At 44.9% G+C, this 27805-nt stretch overlaps 1 protein-coding gene across 4 annotated transcripts in view; it reads left to right on the top strand.

Annotated features, from left to right (window-relative positions):
• The window catches only part of DSCAM (DS cell adhesion molecule), an 836160-nt gene that overhangs the window by 650460 nt on the left and 157895 nt on the right, over positions 1 to 27805 (top strand). For all 4 annotated transcript variants that reach the window (NR_073202.3, NM_001271534.3, NM_001389.5 and 1 more), the window contains 4 exons: positions 7461 to 7657; positions 8712 to 8808; positions 9440 to 9568; positions 17605 to 17772. Coding sequence is in view for 3 of the 4 variants with exons in the window: in NM_001271534.3 (NP_001258463.1) it covers positions 7461 to 7657; positions 8712 to 8808; positions 9440 to 9568; positions 17605 to 17772 (591 nt within the window). In the remaining variant the exon portion in view is untranslated. The remainder of the gene's footprint in view (positions 1 to 7460; positions 7658 to 8711; positions 8809 to 9439; positions 9569 to 17604; positions 17773 to 27805) is intronic.

Genomic DNA, 27805 nt, shown 5'->3' with positions numbered 1-27805 from the left:
TAGAGGGAGGATGAAACAGAAGAAAGAGAGGGGAAAGTGAAGAAGGAAGGAAGGGAAAAATGAAGAAAAAATTGGGAGGGAGGAACAGAAGGATAGAGGGAAAGAAATAAAGAAAAAAGGAGAAGGAGGGGAAATGGCAATTAGTGGGGGAAAAGACCTTGGGGATCATCGGATTGAGTTGTTTCAATCCAGGCTGTATATTTTAGGATCGTCTGGGAAACTTAAATAAATCCATGCATAACCCCCACCCCCAGGGACTCTGAGCCAACGTGCGGTGGGGCCTGAGCACTGGCCTATTTTAAAGGCTTCTAGGTGATTCCGAGATACAGGCCAGGTTGAGAGCCCGTGATCCCATTCAGCTCCTCTATGACTCAGGTGAGAAAGCCAAAACCCAGGACGGCCAAGGGTCCTGCCCAGTCCCAGCGGCAGGAGGTTGGAGTCAGATTCTCTGCTCCCAGGCCCCTTCCTCACCTTTCCTTTTGGTAAGACATATGTGAGGGGCACCACTCTACCCCAGGCACCACCTAACCCCACATCACCTCTGCAGGCCAGGGTGCGGCAGTTCCTTTACCTGGGACACCAGGAGGCCAGTGGGTCTGCACCCTGAGCTGCAGAATCCAGGCAGGTGGCTGCCATCTTACAGCTCGACCTTTGAGACCCACGCTGATGTATGTGTTTACCCAAGGTAGTTTTAAAATAGAATAATAAAAAAAATGTATTCAGTAAATCTTGATAACAAAGAAAACACATTTTGATTCAACACTGTGCATTAAAGTGTGAACTGTGGAATCCAGGCAGTAGATACATGGCTGATTGGCTTCCTGTATGTTTGAAATTTTTTCATAATAAAAATTTGGGAGGACTGGTTTAAAAGGGACTTGAAAAAATAGCTTTAAAATGTGTTTATGTCCCAGAGCATCTCCTTCTTTTGACCTCCCACCCGGGAACCCTGTAATTCCTGCCTCAGTTTCCCATCTTGGGCATTGGGCCAGGTTTATGCTGCCTCGTTCTTGGCTCCACACCCTCCTCTGCCATATCTGCTCTGAATGCCTGGAGGGACTGAGAAACTTCCCAGGATACAGACTTCCTGTGTTAAAACACTGGAAGTCCTGGACACCCTGGGACAGTTGGCCATCTCCTATGTTTGGGGTGATCATGACGATGATGGTTTTCAAATAGGACCGATCAGAGTCAGATCCTGATGGACTCCTGTATTTGGGCATTTGACACCCTTTCTTCTCTATAAAATGAAAGTATTGAGCCAGATGCTTGTGACAGGAATCTTGTCTCATTCGGGATTATCCAGGCTGTTTGGTACTTTCTCCTGTTTTCTTTTCAGTTGTTTTCTTTTCAATCTGTTTTCTTTTCAGCAGAACCAGGTAGGAACAAAAACCATAAAAATGTATAAGGATTAATTTTGCATTATTGATAGAGTCATTAAAAGACTTGAGAGTAAAGTTTGGAACCAGTCTTTAATATCAGTGATTTATTGATAGAATTTTTCATTCTCTCTGTATCCTAGGGTTAAAAAATTAAGATATTCATCAATTTATCACTGAATTACTTGTCAAAACGTACAGTGACAAACTGTTCATATTTTAATTATTTAATTAATAAATAAGGGTTTACTTTCATTGATAAAGTTAATTATTGCTCTTAGCTTAATCTTACTATCTTCTCAGTATCTCTTGTACGATGGGAACACCCTTTAAAATTATTAATATAGTGAAACACTCTCCTAAGTATTATTCTGGTAAATGTTTAACAATTAGCTATTGAGGGGGAGAGGATGGAGAAAGCCGTGATTTCTAGCACTCGCCAATTTCAGTGGTATAAATACTACCACCATTGCCAATTTCAAGCTAAATGGGAAAGAGACATGACTGCACTGCCAAGCTGGGCAGAGATGTGCACAATCAGATCTCCCTGGCCAATGACAGCAGCTCCACTACACCACTGCATCTTTATGCTGCAAAAAAGTAGGTCAGAGGGATGCTCCCTTATATCATAAGAACACAGATTTACTGAGCATTAAGGATGCTGTTAGATAATATTATAGTTTATGAAGCAAATTTATAAATTGATATGATGTAAAACAGCACCTTCCTCAATGGGTAATTTTGCAAGAGAGGCACGCAGCACACAACCTTTGGACAAAGCCTTCTTGGGTCTGGATCTCCCTTGGCCCTGCTAGCAGGGTTTGCCCACAGCCTCTCCTTGGTACCAATCCCTGTTAAATTACCCCATCCATTTGTTATGCTTCAGAAATCCTCGCAAAAAGGGCTGCTGTACAGACATGTTGTCATCTCTAGGCATCCATAACTGTGACAAGTGAAAAGGTCATGCCTTCAAACATTAGCATTGCAAAGAAGCCATGGTAATGATTCATTTTTTCCTTTCCACCATTACTTTAAAGGGCTGAAAATACTTGAGCTGGATAGGAGAACATGGGCTAGTCAGAGCATTTCTCTCTAAGTGCTGAATTTAATAACCAGAACAAAAATACCCATTTTAGTAGGGCACTCTTTCAAAGTAGAAATCTAAATAAAACTGAGGAGTATTGTGTGCAGATTAAGATGGGCAAGTCATAAACAAACCAGAGGTCTATGGTTTGGCCAAGGTACTTCTCTCATCAAATGCGATAAAACTTGTGATTATTTTTTTAAAAAAGGAAAAGAGAAGAAAACAAACAAGTCCTCAAAACAATGCTGCAGTTTTTGGAGAACAGTTCTTCCAGTTGGTGGTTTTAAAGTACTAGGGAATTACATTCTGGGTCAACACCAGCCTTGGAGCTCCTAGAATAGGACAGAAACCCTTACTTCAGAATTGGCTTGCTCTCATTGGAATATAGTCAGTGAGTGTTAAACTACCCTGGATTTGGGAGGTGATGATGGTGACTTACCAAGTTCTCAAAGGAAAACTGTCTGTTTTTATGTCTTACCATTTTATACATTTCCTTTTTACAAACACTGCAAAATAGGAAATCCTGACCATAGCCTTGAGATGCCCAGGAGACTGGGAGGCATTAAACATGGATTGATTTTCAGTTTTGCAACAAGAGTTTCTATATTTTATTCTAAGGATGAGGGTGTTGCAGGAATCAGGACACTCATCAGGAATTGGGGCGTGGGGGTTGATGGTAGTGGACAGGGGTCACCTTTCAAAGCTAAATTATATGTGGGTGTCATGGTTTCTGATTCACATTCCCCAGTCGTGAGAGAAAGAATGAGGAGTAAATATTTTCTTGTTCATAGGCCTGTAATTTATTTATTCACAGTTTTGTAATTTAGGTTACTTTTGTTGGCTTTGAGATCTCTAATTATCTTGAGTTAGCCTCTTTCCCGTATGAGAAAAAATCTTGATTAGTGGATTGAGGCCAAACAGAAAGTGCCACCACCTTCAGTTCCTCTGTGATGGCAGATCCATGGTGAGCCTGGGGTTTCTACAGCCAGTAAGCCTCCAGCTGTCGAGGAACATGCCAGCTCACCTTTTTATAGGTGCACCCAATCTCTACTCTTTGAGTTCCCCTGTTGAATTCAAATGGTTGAACTTAAATTGTTGAACTCAAATGGTTGAAAGGGAATGTTCTTGTTCCCTCACCATAAATGCTGAATCTTAACACCTCCTCTTATTCCCTCTTCTCTCTCCAATCTCCGGCCACAAGAGTGCAAAATGGTGCTGCCACTTGGTCAAACAGTGTGGCAGTTTCTCAAAATGTTAAACATGAAATTGCCATATAACCCAGTAGTTCCACTTCTAGGAATCTCTCCTGGAAAAAAATGAAAACATTTGTTCACACAACAGCTTATACAGGAATATTTATAGTATAATTACTCATAATAGCCCCAAAGTAGAAACAACCCCAGTGTGCATCAGTGGGTGAGTGGATTTAAAAAAATGCAGTATATCCGTGTGCTGCAATATCATTTAGCAATAAAAAGGAACAAAGTACTGTGCTATGACATGGATGAACCTTGACAACATTATGCTTAGTGAAAAAAATCCAGAAAGCTAGATACTAAAGAATACATGCTATATGATTCCATTTATAAAAAATGATCTAAAAAGGTAATACGGGTATTGTGTTAGTCTGTTCTTTTAAAGACATACCAGAGACTGGGTAATTTATAAAGGAAGGAGGCTTAACTGAGTCACAGTCCTATGCGACTAGGGAAGCCTCAGGAAACTTACAATCATGGTGAAAGGGGAAGCAAACATATGCTTCTTCACATGGCGGCAGGAAGGGGAAGTGCAGAGTAAAGGGCGGAAAGCCCCTCATAAAACCATTAGCTCTTGTGAGACCTCACTCACTATCACGAGACCAGCATGGAGGTAACCACCCCTATGATTCAATTATCTCCCACCAGGCCTCTCCCATGACACTATGGGAGACGAATTGTATTTATGGAAACTACAATTCAAGATGAGAGTTGGGTGGGGACACAGCCAAACCATATCAGGGAGAGAAGGTAGATTAGTGATTGCTTAGAACTTGAGGGGGAAAAGAGAAATGACTGCAAATGGGCAGGAGAAATCTTTTGGGGTAATGTAAATGCTTTAAGATTTGATTCAGTGATGATTATACAACTGTGTATATTTGTATACAGGTTATAATGGTATATATGTATATGTACTGGATAATATAAATATATTTGTAATGGGTTGAATAGTATCCCCAAAAATTAATGTCCCCTTAGAACCTTGGAATATGACCTTATATGGAAATAGAGTCTTTGCAAATATAATTCGTTAAGAAGAGATCATACTGCATTAGGGTAGGTCCTAAATCCAGTGACTGGTATCCTCATAAGAAGTCCATGTGAAAAGACACAGAAACATTCAAAGAAGAATGTAAATTATGTGAAGATAAGGCAGAAGCTGAAGTTTTGCCGCCACAAGCCAAGGAATGCCTGGGGCCACCAGAAGCTGGAAGAGGCAAGGAAGGGTCTTCCTCTAGAGCTCTTAGAGGGAGCATGGCTCTGTTGTCGACTTGATTTTGGAATTCCAGCCTCCAGAACTGTGAGAGAAGAAATTTCTGTTATTATAAGCCACATAGATTCTAGTAATTTGTTACAGGCACTCTAGGAAGCGAATGCAATATTAAGTGTACAACTGAATTGCACACTTAAAACAGGTGAATTTTATGGTATGGATATTATACCACAATAAAGCTATTAATAAAAATAAACATTTTTATTTATTTTATAGGCTAGGGGAAGGGGGGGATCAGAACCAAAGGCTGGGGACAGTACAGCCAGTTTTGCTGCATCTCAGAAATGCCAGAAAAGGAATTTCACAACAGTTGTGAGCAACTGTCCTTGATATGCAGGACTCTTGGCACCTCTTTCTTGAGTCACCAATTTGCCTACTTTCCATCTTATTACACGGTCAGTGCTGTGGGGCACATCTCTGCCACATGGCTGCTGACTCTAGAGAAACTCCCAAATGTAGGTTCTTCTGTGGGTGTTCAGGCTACGGAACTGGTAGTATTTTGACGTTTCATTATATGTCTCAAACCTCTCTAGTAAGCCATGGGAAAAGACATGACCCAGTATGTGCCAGTCTTAGAAGAAGCCACAGTGTTTCTATGGTCAAGTACCTTGGAAGTCTTACGAGGCAAGCAATCAAGTACGTAGTCTGAGCTTGACCTCAGAAATGGGGGAAGGGAGCTTCTTCCTGTGATTGGGGAAATGAGATAAAAAGCAAATAAAAAGGTTGTTATGTTTTGATGAATTTTCAAACCTTTCTAGTCCTTTTTGTTAACATCTTGTTCCTTTATCATATTTTTAAAATATCTTTAAACATTCTTGCATAGTTATTTTGCAGTCTGTATCTGACAACTGTATCATCTGAAGTCCTGGGAGGCTGGTTCTCAATCATGGTGTTAGTTTTCTCATGTGTTCTTTAGTTTCAGTTTGTGAGCTCACGGCCAGCAGGGCTTTATCTGGGTGCATTTCAGTGGGCCTGGACAGAGGACACATTCTTCTAGAGTATGTTAGCTTTTGCTAGGCTCCTCAGGCCATTATCAAATTACGGTCACCTTCATGTTAAAGCTTTAGCATGAATTTGACTACAGACCTATGTAGAGTCAGGCCAGTTTTATAAATTCTCAGGGGAGAGATTGTTTTTCTACATATATAACACAAGCTGAGGCAGCTTTCTTCTCTCTTTGCCTTTGTGGATTTTTATTTATTGTTATTATTATTTTGGTTATATACTTTCTGTCAAGATAGAACCCTTTGAGGAGCCTGGCTTTGGAGGTCTCATATTTAATGTCATGCCTCTCAGGTAGTCAAAGCACCGCCATTATATATTACCTCTGGCTTTTCACTATCAGCTTTTGTGTTTGGTCTCTGGTTTTTCTCTCACTTTCTGATAAGCTTAGTATGCATTTTAAAAGGTGTTTGTCATATGCAGTCTACAATTTATAAGTGGCTTGTGGAATTGGGGTGGGATCTTTTGTCATCTATTGCCAAGAAAAGAAGTCTATGTATTAGACTTCTTTTAATTTTGATGTGGGAAAAGGAAACTTGAGAAGCTTCACAAATAAAGGGTTCCCTTTTCTCAGTAAATTGGAGACGAGATTCTCTGCTATAAGTTATGGAAGAAGGACAGGTTTGAGGTCTCCAGTGACTGATAAAGGTTTGCAAGGTTTATAACAACTGTGGGAGATGGGCATTGTGAAAAGTGGTTACAAGGACTGGTTAGCAGCAACAAGGGATTCACCTAAAGTTGACTAAAAGTGGAAGTTTTATCCCCATTGTTTATAATGATAGTTAGAAACCAGTAACATCATTGTATTAGTCCGTTTTCATGCTGCTGATACAGACATGCCTGAGACTGGGCTGTTTACAAAAGAAAGAGGTTTAATGGACTTACAGTTCCATGTGGCTGGGGAGGCCTCATGACCATGATGGAAGGCGAGGAGGAGCAAGTCACATCCTACATGGTTGGCAGCAGGCAAAGAGAGAGCACTTGTGCAGAGAAAATCCCATTTTTAAAACCATCAGATCTCATAAGACTTACTCACTATCATGAGAACAGCATGGGAAAGATCCGCCTCCATGACTCAATTACCCCCCACCAGGTTCCTCCCATGAAACATGGGAATGAATTATGGGCATACAATTCCAGATGAGATTTGGGTGGGGACACAGCCAACCCATATCAATCATTCTGGGTGTGCTAAGGGACATAGGCCATAGCCCTCAACAGGGTTGGAAGAGCAACGTGCCGTGGATATGAAACGGCATGGCAATTTCTGCTGAGGGCTCACTTACTCAAGTTTCATTTTTCTGGTGCCTTTCCTTTATTTTGCTCGAGATTCTCATGCAGCAGTTTCTTGAATAAATTTCATTTTGAAGAAATATCTCTTGAAGCATGGTTTACCTGAGTGTTTTGCCAGGGAAAATCAAGAACCCTGCTTTGCTGAACAAGTTGTGTCCCTTTTGCTTTTTCAGTTCCTGCGATGATAACATCCTATCCAAATACTACCCTGGCCACGCAGGGGCAGAAAAAGGAGATGAGCTGCACGGCGCATGGTGAGAAGCCCATTATAGTCCGCTGGGAGAAGGAGGACCGAATCATTAACCCTGAGATGGCCCGTTATCTTGTGTCCACCAAGGAGGTGGGAGAAGAGGTGATTTCTACTCTGCAGGTAAAAGCATGGCAAATACAACACAATGGAATGAACTTTATTGGAAGAATAAGTCTTTCCTTTCACAGAAGCGGGTGCAGATAAGTAGCAGATAATCTTTCGGAATTTATTTACGAAGCACTATTTCTCTCCCCTTTCACACAGCGAGATTAGTGAAGTAGCCTTCAAAAATAGTGCTTCAGCCTAAGTGTTATTAAGAATAGGGTTATTATGAACGCAGCAGGGAACCCAAATGTAGTAAAAAAAAAAAAAAAAAGTGAGAAATAAGGTTTTTAAATGACAGTTAATCCTTCAGGAATGATGGCCTATGCTGTGTGCATGTTTTAACTTCCTGCAAAAAGAAAAATGAGATGGGCTTTGGGACAAAAATATTATCATAAAAACTATCTTGCTTCTTTGGAAAAATCCACAATAAAAAAAAAATCTGTCGTTAAAAGAGGATCACAAAAGCTAGAGAAAAGGACTGTGAGCAGTGAACTGGTTTGTGCTGTTGTCATGCGGTTGGAGGATGATACTGTAGCACACACAGGGTGGGGAGGTGGGGAAGCCCTGTGTTTGAAATGCTTATATTGGCTCTCAGACAAGGGTCCATTCCTGGAATCCTCCTAGAAAAGGAATCTGATGCGAGTCTTGCGGGCCCCCAGCCCTGCCTGCAGTATTTAATCTGTCTCTTTAGGCATGGTTGCTTTGGATACCATGAAAAAAAAAATGTATATGTGGGATATATGTCAAGCTGACCACGACATCTTATATAAATTACACATCCAATTTAATGAGCTACACCTGACATGGATAATGTACGTGAATCCTATCCATCCGCCTACTTTCAATTACACTGAAATAATTTGTCCTCAGAGGGATACGTGCATGTGTGTGATTTAGTATGTGAGTCTGGAGGAATGGGGGTTTTGTGAGTGTGTGTGTGTGTGTGTGAGTGTACCTATGTGTGTGCTTGGCATGGCAGGAGAACTGAAAGAGTGGAGAGAGAGAGCTTTACGGCTCAAAGTCATTTTGCCTACTGAAAAAGATGAATTTCTTTCTGCTTTACACATAGATTTTGCCAACTGTGAGAGAAGATTCTGGTTTCTTTTCCTGCCATGCTATTAATTCTTATGGGGAGGACCGTGGAATAATTCAGCTCACAGTGCAAGGTAGGAAGACGATAGCGTAAGAGAATAAACACAGTCATTTCAGGATGGGAGCTGTATGCTCAGCCTCAGGCATCTCTGTGTCCTCAACTTGCCATGTAACACTTCCTAATTCCCAGGAAATTTTGAATATGTATAATGTCAGTGCTAAAGCAGAATTTTGCAGTGCCTGGGATTATGTCAAAGTAAAGCCCCCAAACAGGGAACGAAGCCCTTAGAGGAACCAGTCAAGATGACAAGCCCATGACAGTCAAGCCACATGCACACAAGTACAGCGGTGGAATTTCTTTGCTCAATTTTAGGAATCCATGTACTAGATGACCAGAATGAAAGGGAAGTTTAACATTTGGGGCCAAAATATGTTTTGAGTTAGAGATCCAAACTAGAATCGTGACATTTTATATCCTCCAGGCTTGGTCCAGTTCTTAAGGGCTATGAAAATTGGAAGTCTTGGGAAAGTGGAATTTCTCTTCCCTAAAATGTGATTAGGAAAAAGAAAATGCTTCCAAATAAAAAGCTTCTGTTCTTGTCTAATGCAGACAAATCGTTTGTGAGTCACGCTCAGCATTTCCACTAGCGTTTTATGTCAGAGCTCTGTTTGAACTAACTCGTAGTCTTTCTGTTGATGGCACAGAGCCCCCAGACCCTCCCGAAATTGAGATCAAAGATGTCAAAGCACGCACAATTACGCTCAGGTGGACCATGGGGTTTGATGGAAACAGTCCCATCACAGGCTACGATATTGAATGCAAAAATAAATCAGGTAAGTTCTTTACTTCCTCCAGCTTCCCTTCCACCTCAGAAAGTTCTTTTATTTTTCTCCTTATTAATGTGTTTTACCTGTAAGCGCACAGCTCAGCTCACAGGAGCTCAGAGGGCACCACTTCCCCCAGTCTCCTTGCTGGAAGCACATCCTGGCTTTCTGCTGTGGGAGTGGAGTTTCGTGTTGAGGCTCAGCTCTGCTTCTTTCTTTTTTAGCCAGCCCAGACTTCAGTCTTGCTTCCTGCTGGACTCCTTGATATTGCAGCTTCCTGTTGGCATGTGGGCAGTGGCTGATGGAGACAGGCCCCCACCATGACCTTTTCTATTTCACCTGCTCCCTTCACTTCCCGTTTCCCGAGCTGGGTGACTTTTGTAGAGCCTGAGCCCATGTCCTGCACCCAGAGCGTTGAGCTCAAGCTGTGCTTGGTGTTGGTCGGATAAACTGTGCAGTGGTGGTTGGTGCAGAAAAAGGAAAATTCACTCTGGAGCAACCTCCTGGAAATGCTCAGGGACCATCGGCGACACTGGCTGCTGCACCCAGGACCACTCGGCCCAGAGCCCATAAATAAAACTGACCCTGCTGCCAGGGCCGCTGCAGGTGTGCCCATTCATTGCCTTCAAGGAACAATGCCCGGGCCATTTTGAACTTTATGATGCATTGGGCGAGGGTAGAATACCACCACAGTGGCCTCTAGTCAGAATTTTTACTGTGTCTCATAAAAGATATGAGGAATTCGAGCACCACCAGCATGGGAAGGGTTAATAAAATCCTTCTAGGCCGCAAAAGCAGCTTTATTTTTCACTTCCTGGATACCGCACGTTATTTCAGATTACCCAGTTGTGACCCATCTAATATCTTTGGCACTAAAGCTGTAGTAAAAAATCAAGCTCAAGGCAGCTGGGAACCACAGGTCAGGAGTGAGGAAATGTTTCAGCAAGAGCAAGCCAGGAACAGAGCCAGGAAATGGTGACTGCAAAGGCAAGCCGAGGGGTGACTCTTCGGGAATTCAGGAGAACAGAATTTGAAGATTGAGAAGATATGGATCAAAACAAAAAATAGTGTTTTGAAAAGTAGTATCTGTGACTGCTGGGTTGGAAATGCACATGAGGAAAGATGGAATGGCTCAGGTCATCGGCCTCTGAGTTGCAACTGGGGGCCTAGAAGTGAGGTGTCACTTACACAAAGTCTGAGGAAGGGCCTTCCGGGGTTGATTGGACTGCAAGTCTCACCGTAGCCAAGAAATGCTGCAGAGCCAGGGCCCTGGGCTCAGGGGTGAGGCACAGTGACCTGGGGGGCTCACCCAAGACAGTGCTGAGCTGAACAAGCATCTTTTGGGGACTAGGACCAACAGGTTTCCCAAGGGCCCAGGGAGGAGAGGCTGACCTTGCCTTTCTTACAAGTTCATGTATACAGGTCTTGAAGTGAAGCAAATGCTTCTTAGGTGAGGCAGGCACATTTGAGCAGAAACTGTCCTGGAACTTAGTGACAGTGATGAGAGCTCAGACAGATGCAGTGAGCACCGTGGGGACAGGGACAGCCCTTTATCTCACTGGCTGCGCACTGGCTATGGGGCTGCAGGCTGCCCATGCTGTTGGTGCGGGAGCACACAGGAGACCTCTCCTACTGGAGCAGCCCAGGACCTCCCCTGTCCTCATGGAGGAGCGGGCATTGCCGGATGCTGGTGGCAGGCCTGGGCTCAGTGATTTGGGACCCAGCCTGTGTGGGATTCGCTGCTGGGCCTGCGTTGCACCAGCTCTGCACCCTCGCTTGCGCATCTCACCTGTGAAGTGGGCACTGCTGCATCCACCTCAAAGGACTGGCAAGGAGACCACAAAGGCCACCAGCTGCCCTCTGCCTGGAGTCCTCCCTTCCCTGAGCCACCCAGTTACTACCCCCTCCATAGATCTCAATTCTCAGGTGCTCACCCAGCTCCTTCTCCCTTTCAATCTGGGCAGGTGGCATTATGGGTCACTATATATGTATCTCTATGATTACTGACAAATATGCTGATTAATGCATTTCACCTCCACCACGCTAGAGGCTCCTTGGGGGCTCCCTGCACCTAGTAGGTCTATTTTCACCCAGCTCATTTCTCCAACACCCAGCACCGCACCCAACATGTGGAGACACTCAATGGAAATTGGTGAACTCTAAGAAGGGAAGACATTGAAAACGCCTTCCTCGTTGTCTGGAGCATACTCAACATCTAATAGGTGGTAGCTTGTAGATTGCTCCAGCATGCAGGAAAATACTTAGGAGTAAAATGCCTCTAAAACCCTCTGTGTTAAACTACTTACTCAGCATCTAAGTGTCCTCACTATCTCCCTACTCTTACCCAGGAGTTTCCCAAAGGCAGGGACTCTGGTTCTCTGTGTCCTGGGATCCCCAGCACCCAGCACAATGTCAAGTGAAGAGCATACTGTAAATGTTTATTGCATTAATTTACATGCAATTGAAATCTAAGAATCATTATTATCAACAGCATCTTTAAATGTATAAATTGATCATGGTTTATATAACCAAAGCAGGAAAGCTCCTTGTCTATAAAGCTGAGTACAGGCGGGATTGAGGGATACTCTTTTCCATCCTTCATGCCCTACTTCAACCAGAGACAGGGCCAGTGGTGTGGCTAAGATGTTTATGTAGCCCTGGAGCAAGTCATTTTAAGGGGCAGCATGGGTCCCAGGAGAAAAGCCCACAGGACAAGCAGATCCAAGTCCATGACCAAGGTCTCTACCAGGACCCTACAGAACTTCAATTACTTTCAGTTTGGAAGCCCTGGGAGGAAGGAGCTGTGCTGAGAGTAGATAGCACCTGTACTCACTGCTGTACGAGTTGTGTTAGTCAGATTTTTCATGTATTAGTTTCTTCCTCCAGAAATTTTTGGTGTATAAAAATTACAACCATAATTTAAGTGAGTGTAGTTTTAGACTGAGTACATAGAAAACTGATCCTTCAAGTATTAATAACAGCCTAAATGTCACTTCTTCCAGGAAGCCTTCCCTGACTACCTATTCCCCTTCACTATTCATAGCATGTCTTGGAACACTTGGTGGGCTTGTGACTATTAATTTACTATCTGCACCCCACTGAACAGTTGTCCCCCTATGGGCCATAGTGAGCCCTGAGGGCTGGAATTGTCTCTGACAAACCTTATGCTATGTCCCTGTGCCCCTCATAGTGCCTGACATGTATACGAGACTCATAATAACCATTAGTCAAATTGTTGACTCTCAACATCTGTTTTAGGCAACGGTGAAATTATCCCCCCAAAAGTTTTCCTTTCCTTTTCATTAATTTTCAAAGAAAGCAGCATATAACCAATGTATTAAAGTACTTCACATTCGTAACAGAAAGAACTTCTGCAAGTGACCATTCACTCTATGCTTGAACAATCCGAGAAACAGAAACTCACTAACCCAGGGAGCACAGCTCTGCCTTTGGCCAGCTGTGACTGCTACAAGTTCTTACATTTATTGCACCAAAATAGACCTTCCTGGATCCAGTGTCTCTCCTCCCACCTCTTAACCCTTTGGCCAAATGACAGTCCTCCCAGGATTTGACAACAGATGACTTTCCTTGGTTTACTCTTTTCCAGGAAACACTGAACACCCCAAGTCCTTGTTATTGTATCTCCTGTCATCATCTCCTGCCCCCCTAACTCTGGTCATGCCCAGTGGCAGCACCAGAGGCGTCATCTGAGCGGGCACAGGCACAGTGAAGCTGTCCCTTCCTTATCTGGAACATTCTTCTTCTCCCATAGGTGGCAATTACACAGGTTGCCTTGGTTGCCATATTTTCTGATTCCCAGGGACTACTGCTTCTCCCCTACAAGGACCCAAGGCCACCTTTAACATCCCTTCGAGCATATTGTCTGGGGACCTCCAGCAGATTCGTCTGCAGTTTGTTGCCTCCCTTTATTCCCTTCCTTGGAAGGCAGCCTGCCCTTCAGAGTCTGTTCCTGTGGGGGCCATCTCCTGTCCGCAGGTTCTCTTGTTGCCTCTCCTGTCCACGGTTTCTCTGGTAACCCCCCCCGTCCACGGTTTCTCTGGTAGCCCCCTCCTGTCCACGGTTTCTCTGGTAGCCCCCTCCTGTCCACGGTTTCTCTGGTGGCCCGTTCTGTCCACGGTTTCTCTGGTAACCCCCCCCGTCCACGGTTTCTCTGGTAACCCCCTCCTGTCCACGGTTTCTCTGGTGGCCCGTTCTGTCCACGGTTTCTCTGGTAACCCCCCCCGTCCACGGTTTCTCTGGTAGCCCCCTCCTGTCCACGGTTTCTCTGGTGGCCCGTTCTGTCCACGGTTTCTCTGGTAACCCCCCCCGTCCACGGTTTCTCTGGTACCCCCCTCCTGTCCACGGTTTCTCTGGTACCCCCCCCCGTCCACGGTTTCTCTGGTAGCCCCCCCGTCCACGGTTTCTCTGGTAACCCCCCCCCGTCCACGGTTTCTCTGGTAACCCCCCCCTGTCCACGGTTTCTCTGGTAACCCCCTCCTGTCCACGGTTTCTCTGGTGGCCCGTTCTGTCCACGGTTTCTCTGCTGGCCCCTCCTGTCCACAGTTTCTCTGGTACCTCCCTCCTGTCCACGGTTTCTCTGTTGGCCTCTGCTGTCCACAGTTTCTCCGGTGCCTCCGTCCTGTCCACAGTTTCTCTTGTCCCTCCCTCCTGTCCGTGGTGGCTCACAGGTCTCTGACCAGGTTTCAGCACCATGGCAAGCTCTGTCACACCCTGAAAGGTAACCAGGAAACACAGACTCTGACACAGAAGGTGCACACCCCAACCCCTCTCCTCTCTTGGTCTTCCCACCCCTAGTTCACCCTGAGGACTGTTATCCTTGAGAAGAATAAGACAGAGAACAAGGGGCTCTCCTGTGTCCCCACACCTCCTCCTATTCACCAACATGAAGGGCCCGCTCCCTCTCCCAGCTACCTCTCCATTGTTAAACCTTTCATGTAATTCACCTCCAGAACTTTCAGTCACCTTCACTCATTCTGGTCTTTAGCCTCTAACAGCACTTCTTCATACCAAGTCCACTCTCTTATATTAGTCCTTGTTGCTCTTGCATCCACTGGATTTGGGGTATCTGACCCCCAAGGCGAGCTCCCCAGCAAGCACCCAGCGCAGTCTCACTGGCTCCTGTCAGCTCTTCACTCCTTCCTCACCTCACAGAGGCTGCAGTGGGACTCTGAACTGCCCCATCCTCCTACACCACCAGTCTCCCTGGAGCAAGCCATGGCATCCCGCCCACTCTTTCGTGAATGCTTCTGACATCTTCCTAAACCAGGCTGCAACTCCGAGCCTATACAGCCCTCTCAGTCTTCCTACAAACCCACAGATGGTACAGTCATTCTTGGCCAAAGTTTTCTTCTCTTACATTTGACCAAACGATTTCTGTGCATTGTCAAGTCAATAATTTGCCAGAAGGTCTTCTTCTAGGCATACGAGATTTTCAGCAGGTGCCCGGAAATATCAAAATCCTGTCTTATTAGGTGTTTTCAGAGAGTATGTGGAGGTCATGCATTACAGAAAAATGACCTTGAACTTGGAGATAACACAGGCGAGGCCAAATCCCAGCCCTTCTTGTTACCAGCTATGTAACAGGGCTTGAGTTTCTTGACTTTCACTAAGGAAATAAAAACCTTACCTTGACAGGATGTTGTACAATTTTAATCAAATGAAGCAGTCTGTCCAAACTATACATCGGAATGACCAAGATAGGGAGCCTTTTTAAAAGCACAGGTTTCTGGGCACCATTCCCCAGAGACTCTGGTTTGGTAGGTCTGAAAGCAGAATTATCAAAAAGCCCCAAGGTGTTTCCAATGTGCCCACAGATTTGGGGCCACAGAAGTCACGTTTGAAAATGCCCAGCACATTGACCTGATGGGAGGAGGAAACTGAAAATTGAGATATAAATATAACTAGGAAGAATGCACCATTGACCCAATAAAAAAGTTCTTAGGCGTAAAACACAAACAGAAATGTATGCATGGACATCCAAGATCTGAAAAGTGGCAAGTGTGACTGGGGAGAGTCTGGGAAGGCCACGGACAGGAGGGTGAGGATGGGCTTTGTAACGGGTCCCCCAGCCCATTGGAGGGAGTTAGTGGTAGTTGCTACAGACAGGGTGCAAACGCAGCATCAGAGAGGATTTATAAGTCACACTGGGAGACTGTTGAACAAGGTGACATCACTGAGATAGGGGCTGAGCTAAAGGAACCTATAGGGCATGGATGTGGAGGTGCCCAGTGACCACCAAGAGGGGACTGTCCCCACCCTACCCAGGTCCACCATATGCCTTGGATTGGTGTAAGGGACTGCAGTCATGGACACTCATATGCCTCTCCAGGCTGCCTGCCAACTCCCAGACAAGAGCCTCCAGTGAAGATGGCTGTATCTTCATTGGCCCCGTCAGTTTCAGAAACTTCAATGTTGCCTGGGCAGAGGCATCAACCACCACAACTGCCTACTTCCTCCAGGGGCTACTTAGCAAATGTCTCTGCATCTTGTGGCACCTGGCATTCCTCCTCATCCTCCTAAACATCTCTGCAGAAGGTCTGGCTTTCTCTCTGTGGGACAAGCCTCATAGGTGTGTGCCGTTTCATTGATATAAAATTTCCTCTCCTCATTTGTCTTCCATTGAATCCCATTCTTCCCCTTGTCAATTTTTTTCCAACTCTTTGTATTTCATGTTTTTCCACCTCTAATCTTCTTGACCCCAAATATGCTTTTTCCTTCTAACTGCAATATTCATTGTCAGATTCTATTAGGCTTCATTCTCTGAGAAGTTACAGTATCCAAAAGCAGTCTTTAAGCCACATATTTTTTCTTCAATTCCAGAAAATCTCTTGCATTTATGTTTAACTCTGGACAGAGAAGTCCCCTAAACTGCCATACTCACCCTTAGTGTGACAAAGTGATTGGCCCCATTCCCAAGACTCAGAGGTCCATGTATTTGTGGTTTATTTGTTCCTCTATTAAACATTCATGTACTATTTGTCTACTATGAGCCAGGCACTGTGCTAGCACTAGGGATAAAAGACTGGGTATGGCCAGCATGGCCTCTGCCCTCCTGGAGCTTAAAGTCTAGCAGGGAACACAGATTCAGATTATCCATGGAAGACTTACTTGTGTGGTGAGCACCACCAAGGCAGACCCTGAGGAGGGTGGGAATATGTAGGCACCATCTCTGTCTACTGTCTTGGGCCCTCCTTTTTTCATCCCCAGCCAATACCAGCTGTCGACCACACACCTACAGTCAACAACTGCCCAAACTCTTTTGATATAAGAACCACGTATTGACATTCTCATCCTTGCTTGAAGCCTGAAAACCACCAGATACAAAATGTCACAGATTCAGTGATAACATTTCACACAAAGTAGGTGCTGCTGTTATAATTAGCTGTGGTTGAAAAATAATTCCTACAACCAAGGATTTGGCACTAAATGATTTCAAAAAATAGAACTGAAAAAATATGTTTGGTAATCAGGATTTATTCTGGAACTTGAGATTGGTTTGTATGGGATTATCTTGTTTTTACCACACTCTATTTGGGGAGGAAAGGATCTGATATGGCTTGAAGTTTTGCTGGTTTTCAAATGCCAGGGATTTTGGGGGGGCCCAGGGGTACTATCCAAACCATAGTTCATTGTACTGTCCTATACAATGAGTGCTTACAGTGGCCATCGTCCATTCCACTAACCTGAGCTTCCACCACTGGAATTTGCCTTCTGAGATCTCCCCCAGTCGGCTGATCTGTGCTTCCTCCATCACCCCTCCCTGAACTCAGCTGGCTTGTTGCCCCATGTCCCTCGCAGCGTGAATAATGTGTGTGGGATGTCACATCCCCTCTGATGGCCAACTCTGCCAGAAAGCTGGGAACATTGCATTCAGAAATCACTTTGAGTGTAATTTTTCTTTCTTTCCGTCTTTTTTTTTTTTTTTTTTTTTTTTTGGTTTTTAATTCCTACTTGTGAACTTTCAAAGGCAGAGGAAAAAAACTCACGTCTCTATCTCTTCTTTTTTGAAAAACAAAACCCAAAAGACTCCTGGGATTCTGCTCAGAGAACCAAAGATGTTTCCCCTCAGCTGAACTCGGCCACCATCATTGATATCCACCCTTCCTCCACCTACAGCATCCGCATGTACGCCAAGAACCGGATTGGCAAGAGCGAGCCCAGCAACGAGCTCACCATCACGGCGGACGAGGCAGGTACGTGGGACCGGGCGGAACCTTGCTCCAGAGGAGCCCGGGAGCTAACTCTTGAGGGCTCAGATGCTTAAATGCAGAAGCAGACCTTTGCCCGTGCTAGGCGGAGGTCTTTGATGCGTGCTCTCCGTAGTTCTGTGCCCTATAAAAAACGCAGACAGCGCTCTGCATCTTACTTTGAAGGCACTGCTCTTCAAATAGGATTTAGTTCAAGTTTCCCATACCCAAGACTTAAAAGAAAGACGTATGAGGCTAACAATCTGGTGAGATTCAAAGAATCATGCCGTTTTACAATTCCTTTGTTTGGACACATGGAATCCAGGTTGACAGGAGAACCGTGAGTGTGTTTCTTTCCTGAGACCCTGTGAAGTCCAGTGTGGGAGGAAGCAGTAATGCTTAACTAGGAATCTGCAAGCATGCTTACTGTGCGGGAGATGTGGGAAGGGGAACAGATTATTTTATTGACTAGAAACATCAATATTTAAAAATAATGTTTTTGCTCTTTTTTCTATTACAAACAACATTATATTTAGTGTTGCAAATTCAGAAGATAGAGATAAGCATTGTGGAGAAGGCAAAACAGCTTCCATCATTTTCCCACTGAGAGCTAACCCAGGAACAGGCAGTGATAACTGGCTAAATAATTTCATCACCCACACACGCACATGCACACAGGCACGCACCAGTGTATTCACACCCCTTAACACACTGCGAGCCACTCATGTTTCCGGGGGGGTGAAATTAACAGGTGTGCAGAGAACTGAGCAATCAGGCAATGGTCCATGAATGCTGATTGTCAGCCCGCCTCCTGGCAGGAGGAGAGGAAGCCACTGCGCTTGGGTTTCATCCACAAGGATTGCATGCCTGGCCCATTTATTGTAGGGAAAGGGTGTCCAGCTCCCAAACCTACCTCTTCTTTTCCTGCCCACCATCAGAGCAATCAGCCACTCCCTACTGCAGGGAAGATGGCAGCTTAGTCTCAAGTCCCTGTTTCTCCATCACCAAGATTAAGGTGATTGCCACACCCAGATGGCTAACAGAAGACCGGAGGTTTGTTGCAACTTTCAAGAGAGGTTGATCTTGGCTTCCTTCCCACCACCTCATCTCTGCTACCCTCATTAACAGCATCCCAAATATAAATGGAGCTTATGTATCTCTTAAGTACTTTTCTACAATTTGTAATGATATCTCTCACTATGTGTTTAACAAATCTCATATTGCCAAACGGGTCAATTATTTTCGAGTTTTCATTAGTATAAACACCACTACAATGAACATCCTGGTGGTATGTCTTTTGCTATCTCCAAGATCATTTTCTTAGATTAAATCCTAAGAAGTCAGATGGCTGGATCAATCAAATGCAACATTTTCACCCTTCTGATATCTGTAATCAGTGTTGTCTTCAAGAGAATAGGTTAAAATGTACAACTCTTCCTGAACTGCAGAGGAATGCCCATTTTTCAATGCTGGAAGATGTCAGTTCTTGAAAATTGTTTTCAAGAGTGAGTGACAGAAGATCTTTAGGCTGAAGTGCCTGAGAGTGAGCCATTTCTGAGACTTGGATTCTCTGTATGATTTCTCATCTGCAAAATGGACATTATGATGCCTTTCTGCTCCTTACACAGACATATCTGATCACTGAAAAAAACTCAAGCTCTGAAAATACTTTGCATGTCTCAGAAATAAGTGGGAAATAAGTGTTAATCTGCTTCTGCAAAAAATAGAATTGTATTTAATTATGTATGTAAACAACCCACTAACTTCCTCAGATCCCTGAGATTTCATTATGCTGGGTACTTAGGGAGAATAAGCTGTCCCCATCCTTCAGCCCAAAATGTCATCTCTGACTTCCTGCTCAATCTTCTCCTTCTCTCTCAAGCCCTTTTCTAATCTCGCCCCATCCCAGCCACCTCCTCGGGAAAACAGCATTTTTCCGGTGGTGCATTTTGCACCTGCTTTTCTGATTGCCATTATTAATGCTGCTGTTGTTGCTTTTTTCTTCGTTTCCTCTGTGACCTCTGCTGCGGCTGGCAGTTGCCATGGAAGCAGCTCTCTCCCTGCCAGAAGGCCAGGTGAAGAGCCTCTGGGGTGCTGGTCTGCAGGGCAGCTGCCTGGCATGTCTGCAGACAGATGCAGATGCTGCCTCTTTGGCTCCCAGGCTGGCCTTTTGTATTGTATCTGGGTGTGCTGGCTGTGGCAGCCCCACACAGCCCCTCTCCTTTAATATTCAGAGGAGCTAAGGGGAAGGGAAGGAAAGGAGCAGGTTCTAGAAATGAAAAGCTACAGCAGATAACTTGTCTTTGTCTTGGTTCATAGGTTTGCATGACTGAAATTAAAAAGTCAATTTCCCATGTGTGACTTACCTAGAATGGGGTGCTCTGGCCAAAGGCATCCTCATTAGAGTATTGAGCAGGGGCTGTAGACACTGCTGCCCCTTCCCAGCAGGTAAACCCAAAGGCACATCTTTTTAGGAGCTGTAGCTGTCTTGAGGTGACCTTGTCCCACTGTTCCCTTATTCCTCATATGGGAGCCTCCGGAAGCTGTCAGCCCACTCACTTTTACTGTAATCTAGTACCCAAGTCTTGGGCACACGAGGATGCCCCCCAATGCTACTACTTTGCAATGACACTTAGTGACTCCCCAGAGCCCAATGCCCAGCACTCACCTGCCTTTGCATGCTCCCAGACCCCTATTGTTGTGCTTCTTCCCCTGTCTTGAAGGCACTACAAGTTCCATGTCTCCTTTTCTGTGCCCTTCCTTGAAAAGTCAAGTTCAAGAATGCCTTCCTCCCTGGTGCAATGCCTTTTTCCATCTCCCATGTGTAGTTAGGGACTACTCAGCTCAGGACAGAGGAGGGATTTTGCTGACAGTAGCCTTTGAGGTGTATCATCATGTCTTCATGGACCCTGCTGTCCATGATGATATACCACCTGATGTGGAGGGGCTGTGGCCCCCTCCACATCAGGGGGCATATGTGCTTACAATTCTGTCCCTTGTGTGTGTCTGGCATAAGGGAGATGAAAGTATGAGATGAACGTTTATAAACATTACCCACAGTATTGCCTTTAGAATGGGTGTCACAATGAGCAGAGTATGTGTGTGTGCGTGTGTGTGTGTGTGCGTGTGTGTGTGTGTGTGTGTGTGTGTGTATGTGTGTGTTGAGAAAATATATGCTGGATTAAACCCACAGTGAAATTCTGAAGGGTGCCCTGGTCTGAATGTTCATGCCTTCCCTTTCAAATGAATATCCTGAAACCTAATTCCTAATGCAATAATATTAAGAAGTGGGGCCTTTAGGAAGTGAGGGTGGACCCATCATTAATAGCATCAGTATGCCCTTATACAATAGGCCCAAGGCCCAATAAGATCACTTACCCCTTCTGCCCCGGGAGGACATGGGAAGAAGGCACTATCTATGAACCAGAAGAATGAGCCCTGACCAGACACCAAATCTGGCATCTTGATCTTGGAATTGTCAGCCTCTAGAAATAAATTTCTGTAAGAAATAAACTTCTGAGCCAGGCACGGTAGTTCACGCCTATAATCCCAACACTTTGGGAGGCTGAGGCAGGGGGATCACTTGAGGTCAGGAGTTCGAGACCAGCCTGGCCGACATGGCTAAACTCCGTCTCTACTAAAAATACAAAAAAAAATTAGCCATGCATTGTGGCACATGCCTGTAATCCCAGCTACTTGGGAGGCTGAGACAGGAGAATCGCTTGAACCCTGGAGGCGGAGGTTGCAGTGAGCCAAGGTCGTGCCACTGCACTCCAGCCTGGGCAACAGAGTGAGACTCCTTGTCAAAAAAAGAAACAGAAATAAATAAACTTCTGTGGTGTATAAGTCATGCAGTTTAGAGTACTTTGTTATAGCAGCCCCAAAAGACTAAGACAAGGACTTCATGCAGAAAAGTAGAGAAAGGTGAAAGATAGGACAGGAAGGCTGAGAGGAAAGAAGATGGGGAAAGAATACAGCCCCCATCAGAGCTCCAGTGACCACCCATGAAATGGCTGCATCTGGAGCTTGAGGTGCCCTCCCCGCATCCTGATGGAATAGGGCATGTCCCAGGCCATAAGCTGCAGCCCACGACAGACCAGGCCTGTGGATGTGAGTCGGCTCAGTGTTGTGCGAAACTTTTAAATTCGATGTTAATTTTTAAAATCTGGAAATTTCAGCTGAAAATCTAAATTTTGAGTTCCTCTTGAGTTCCTGCTTGGCAGCAATGAGCTGGAGTTAAGCATGGAGTGGCCATCCCAGAGGCTGACCATACCCCCTCAGTGAGCCATAGTTCCCATCCTCCATTCATTGAAGGATCAGCAAACTACAGTCGGTGAGCCAAACTTCACCTACAGACCTTGAACTAAGCATAGTTTTTTCATCTTTAAAAAAAAAAAAAAAGAATAACATGGGCCCATAAAGCCCAAAATTTGTACTATCTGAGTCTTTACAGAAATGTTTATGGATCTCTGATGAAGTCTGGCCACCATGGGAATTTGAGTTTTAGATTTCTGCTGTATCTACTGCAAAGCTTAGTGAGGAAGGGATTGCTGCCACTGGCATAGTGTCCCTACCTAATGTTGGGAAATCTCATTGCTCCAACCCCAAACTACTCAGTTTATTTGCATGTGTTGCATGTGAAAGTGCATAAAGCGTTATCATACCACTTTAATACACTCGACCTCAGAGAATAGCCATGAAGCCAAGACCACACCATTCAGCGCAGTCTTCATGGCTTCCCCAACCACCCCTAGCACCAGCAGCCCCCACAACAAAGGAGCAGTCAAGAGAATAAGTGACACAGTCGGAGTTAATGAGATGAGCTGTTAATGGACCCGAAGTGTGTCTCTTTGACACGGATCAGCCACGTGACACATGACATTCACAGCTAACCCTTGCTACAGACCAACTTCCCCATTAGCAGCTGCCCCCTGCAGGTCATGAGTCACTTAGTGCCTTGTGACCGAGTTTGGGATGGCTGCCCCCTTCATTATTTTCACTATAAATCTGTGCATAGAACATGCAGCTTCAATTAGTGGGTGCTCATTGAAACACCACTGAATTTGACAGACCATCAGAGAATAGAAGGTGTGGATTATGGAAGGGTCATGATGCAGAGTCACTGGGTTTCCAATGAATCTGGCACTGAGTTAAGTCCTTGCCTCATCTTTCCTCCCATTCCGGGGCAGCAGCTGTGATCTGGAAGAAGAGTTTCCTATGTGCTGAGCTGGGGTGGAGGGGAGAGGATGGAATGAGGGCAGAAGGAATAAAAGTCAGGAGCATGTGAAGCAAACACAGGGCTAGCAGTGCTCATTAGTGCAGAGGGCGGCATCAATGTGTTCTTCAGTAAGAGTCAAATGCACAGCATTCACTCAGCGAGAAGAGCCGAGCACACCCCATGACCAACCAGGCCCTCAGCGATCTGCCTCTGTAGATTTTTGTCATTCTCCTCCATCCTGGGTTTGAAGAAACTTTGGGAATTAAATCTAAAGAAAGTTATCGGCCTTCTTGCTGTCCCTCATACACATTGTGTATACCCCTGTCTGCTATCCTGAAAGGTTCTGGAACAGTTCTGGAATGTTCTGAAATGTTCTTCGTCTCTTCCCTTACCACTTTCAAATATTATTCTCCAAGAATCCAATCCTGGCCACCCTATTAAAATTCAACCCACTGCCCACTCCACTGGGTCCCCTGCCTCCCTTACCACTCTCCTTCTAGCAGTCGCTTGTATCAGCACCCAGTGTACTGTATAAGTTGTTGATTTATTTTGCTTATGGTCTGCTTTGATCCCATCCCACCAGGGCAGGTGGAGTTGCTTGTTCTGCTCACTCACTGCTGTATCCCAGGCACCTAGATTGGTGTTTAGCACATAGGATGTGCTAATTAAATAAGTAGGTTAAATAAATCAGCCATTTATTTAATAAGTAGTTATTACATGACTTCAGCCTTTCCCCATCTGGGCACCAGCTATTCTTTGTCGTATTTTGATTTTTACTAAATACTGTCTTGGTTCCCTTTGTCCAACACAGAGCATGCCTCTCGCCCACCCACCCAACTCCTGTAGAAGACAAACGTGTGTTTGTAGAATTATGCAGCTGCTCCTCACTACTTTTTAAAAATTTATATATTTTTTTCTGCTTTTGTATCCCAGTCTTTGCCTAGTTTAGGACCTGGCACATAGAAGGCAAATCTCCCAATCAGAACCAGAGGCAAAAATGTGGGACTGGTTCTCACTGGGGTGATTGAGCCCATATCAATTAATGATGAGGCCCCAAGATGCTGGCTAAAGCCAAGATATTGAGACAGGGAGGAGAGTATTTTGGAGCAGAATGGAGCACCGAGGCTTGAGTCTCAGCTCTGGGAGGGACACAGGAGCTGCTGGGCAGTGGGAGGTTGTCCAGCTGGGGAGGGACAGAAGCAGAGACAGCGTAGCCAGGAAGGATCAGGACAGGGAAGCAAAGCGGAGATCCATGCGTTTGGCAATCAGGAGGTGCCTGTCATCCCTGTGTTTTCAGCCAAACAGAATGAATTGTCCTGACTTTTACCTTTGCAAACATAATACAAATTATAAAGATAGTCTTCGCTTATTACTGCTTTACAGATCGAAGAGTTTTGGATTTCTTAGAAATGCAGAGTTTATTTTGTAAAATCACTTGTTTTTTGTGAGATGGAGTCTTGCTCTGTTGCCCAGACTGGAGTGCAATGGCACAATCTCAGCTCACTACAACCTCCGCCTCCTGGGTTCAAGCGGTTATCCTGCCTCAGCCTCCCCAGTAGCTGGGATTATGGGCATGTACCACTGCACCCAGCAAATTTGTGTATTTTTAGTAGAGACCATGTTTCACCATGTTGGCAAGGCTGGTCTTGAGCTCCTGACCTCAGGTCATCTGCCCACTTTGGCTTCCAAAGTGGGGAAGCCAATTCTGCTTTTTCTATATATTACATTTGAAACCATGTAAGTAAATTCTTAAATTTCCAATGTCAACACAATTTTCAAATTTAGTTAAATAAATGGATATACCTAATTTTTGACCCTTAATACATTTTGCATTGGAAACTCAATCGGCTTTGGACTGTAATTTTATAGGCATCATTGGCAATGAGATGATAACCTATGAAAAAATTACAGCTCAGGAGTTATACAGAAAGCAATAAAATTCTTAAAGAAGGGAAATTTTTTATAATTTAAAAAATTTTTAAAGTAATGTTTTAGAAACATAGTAGAAAATTTAGTGCCCTTTGTAAAACACAAGCAAACAAAAAACCTTCCTAATGATATTGGACATAGCCCTATTGTGTGTTTGTACAAATTAAATTATTTTGGTTTGTCTGGACTGTTTTCATCACTTTTTTTTTTTTTTTAGGAGGAGGGATCCAAATGCTTTCACTTCAGGGAACAGGCAGAACAATAAATACATTACTGACAAATCATGGCAGCATTGGTAGGCTAAGTAATAAAGCTGTTACATTCTTAAAAACAGTTAAGTCTGTCCTGGATACAAGAACTGTACCCCCTCTCCTCTTCAGTGGGGACCTTCATAAAATACCAGACCTGGGCCTGGCATGGTGGCTCACACCTGTAATCCCAGCACTTTGGGAGGCTGAGGCGGGCGGATCACTTGAGGCCAGGAGTTCGAGACCAGCCTGGGCAACATGGCGAAACCCCATCTCTACTAAAAATGCAAAAGTCAGCCAGGCGTGGTGGCACACACCTGTAATCCCAACTACTTGGGAGATTGAAGCAGGAGAATAGCTTGAACCTGGGCGGTAGAGGTTGCAGTGAGTCGAGATAGTGCCACTGCATTCTAGCCTGGGCGACAGAGTGAGACCCTGTCTCAAGAAAAATAAAATAAATACCAGACCAGATTGGAAAAGTAAGTTACTCCCAATTCATGATTACATTATGATATGTATGCTATCTGATAGAATTGGGGACATTCTTGTAAACACTATGCTGGCACCTTTGGTTTAATTATGAATATATCTCAACTGGAAAATCAAGGTTGCAACTCTTGTGTGCCATCTTCCTGAGAGGACCACACCAAAGGCCATGCCCCAGGGAGCCCAGAGGATTCAGGATGAGACAGTGCTCCTGACATTGCCTCCAATTCCTAACAAACTGGCTTCTTGTCAAATTCAGTTAAGTGTAACTAAATTAAAGTAACCCAGCCTCAGTATAGCTGTCAGACTCAAAAATCATTTTTCAAGGATTTTTATGGAAAACCGTGTGCTTTTCAATGAGCACAGAATTATCTGTGTGTGAGGGAAATCCATTCCATGAGTTTTTATTGAATTTGAGGTCCAAAGTTTCCTGCCTAAGAGCTTGACCCCATGTGCAAGAAATTGGGTGCAGAGGCTCAACAATAATCATCACCATTAGCTGGAAGCCATTCTCTCCCTCGGCTCCTGTTCTGGACTTTAACTTCAGTTCTAGCAGAGCCTTTGCATTTTTGGAACTAATAGATCTGAGAGGCTGTAGCACTCCAGACTGCCAGCTGTCCCTGGACCTGCTGAGGAGAGGGATGCATGCTCAGCATTTCAGCATCTACAAATTGCTTTACCCATTCAAAGCAAGGACTCACTCTGGGCTTAGTTCCTGGTGCCATGTAGAGTCTGCTGGGTGACCAGAGACATGCAAAGACAGACACGCAAACATATATGCACACTACAGGGACAGGTCCCCAGGCCTAGGCAGGTGTCAGCTGCAGCGGGAGGCTCACAGGCATGGGCGGCAAACCCTGATGGAGGGAGAAGAAAGCCCCAGGGAAAAGGCTCGGCTCTACCCAGGGGTCCCGTGTGTTTTGGACATGGCTGGGACACAGGGTGCATAGGGAGTGCGCGGAACGAAAGCGTGGAGAGGACGGCGAGGTGCCTTCTGGGAGCAGAAAATTACTAGGGTGGGTGAACAGTGTGAATTGTGCTCTGGGGCCATGTCCCTTTTAAAAGAGTACAATAGAGACCAGAATTAATGTTTAGGAACTAAATAGAAACTGTCACCAGGCATAGAAGTGGGGTGGGAGTGGGGTATCAGAGTGAGAGATAGGGATCCCCATAAGGACGATGGTGGAGAAAGCATAGGACAGGGGCCATTTGGATCAGATGTCAGGGACAGCATCAGCAAGTGTGTGAAGGAGGGGTGCAGGGAACAAACAGCCCAGAGACCTAACCCCCACCTCCTCTCTCTCCAGCTCTTGTCTTTTAACACCTTTGTTTTAATTATAAGTACATCTTAACTGGAAAATCGAGGCCGCAATGTCCCCATTTCCTTTCAAACTCATATTTCTAAACCATAACAAACCACATATGCTGGAGAATCGGCTTCGTTTCTTGGCATTCTTATAGTATCATTCTCTCCCAGTCCCGCCAGCCCTGACCTGCGGAATCAGCTTCCTGCTTGGTCCTCAGTGCGAGGACGGAGCTGTGGAGTCCCATTATCCTCTTGGAGTAGCAATCCCTGCATCTTAGAGCACTGACTCCTGGGGAGGGGCACCTTGATAGAGCGCCTTAGTGCCCTAAGACACAGGGTGCACCCTTTTCTATAGACCATAGCCATTTTCCAAGACTTTGTTTTGTTCCAAAGCCCATAACTCTCTCCTTCATGTTCCCATTCTGATTTCCTGCTTGGCTTATTGTCATATTGTTGAGAAAAGCAACAATCAGGTTTCAACCCGCTTCTTTCAACCAGTAAGTTTACCTGTGTCTGCCCTCACCTGGCTTCCCTCAACCAGTAAGCCTACCTAAGGCCTCCCGTCGCTCTGCCCTCCTCCCATCCCAGAGGTATTTGTTCCTTTGCCCCACTCACTCCATAGCCTGTATCTTCTGCCCTCTTCAGTTTCTGCCAGGACATTCATTATTCCTTCAAGTTTACCTTTTGTTGTTGTTGTTAAATTTCTCCCATTTGCTTCCCCCTATTTACAAACACTTAATGATAATTATATTATGATTATGATTTCTTATATTTACTGAGCACATTGTTTTCATAACAACCCTATGATACAAATTCCATTGGCCCATTATATATAGAGAGAAATGGAGTCAC

This window comes from Homo sapiens, chromosome 21 (genome assembly GCF_000001405.40).
Source record: "Homo sapiens chromosome 21, GRCh38.p14 Primary Assembly".
NCBI classification, from domain to species: Eukaryota; Metazoa; Chordata; class Mammalia; order Primates; family Hominidae; genus Homo; species Homo sapiens.
The sequence above is the reverse complement of the archived record's forward strand: the minus strand, read 5'-3'. Positions and strand labels throughout refer to the sequence as shown.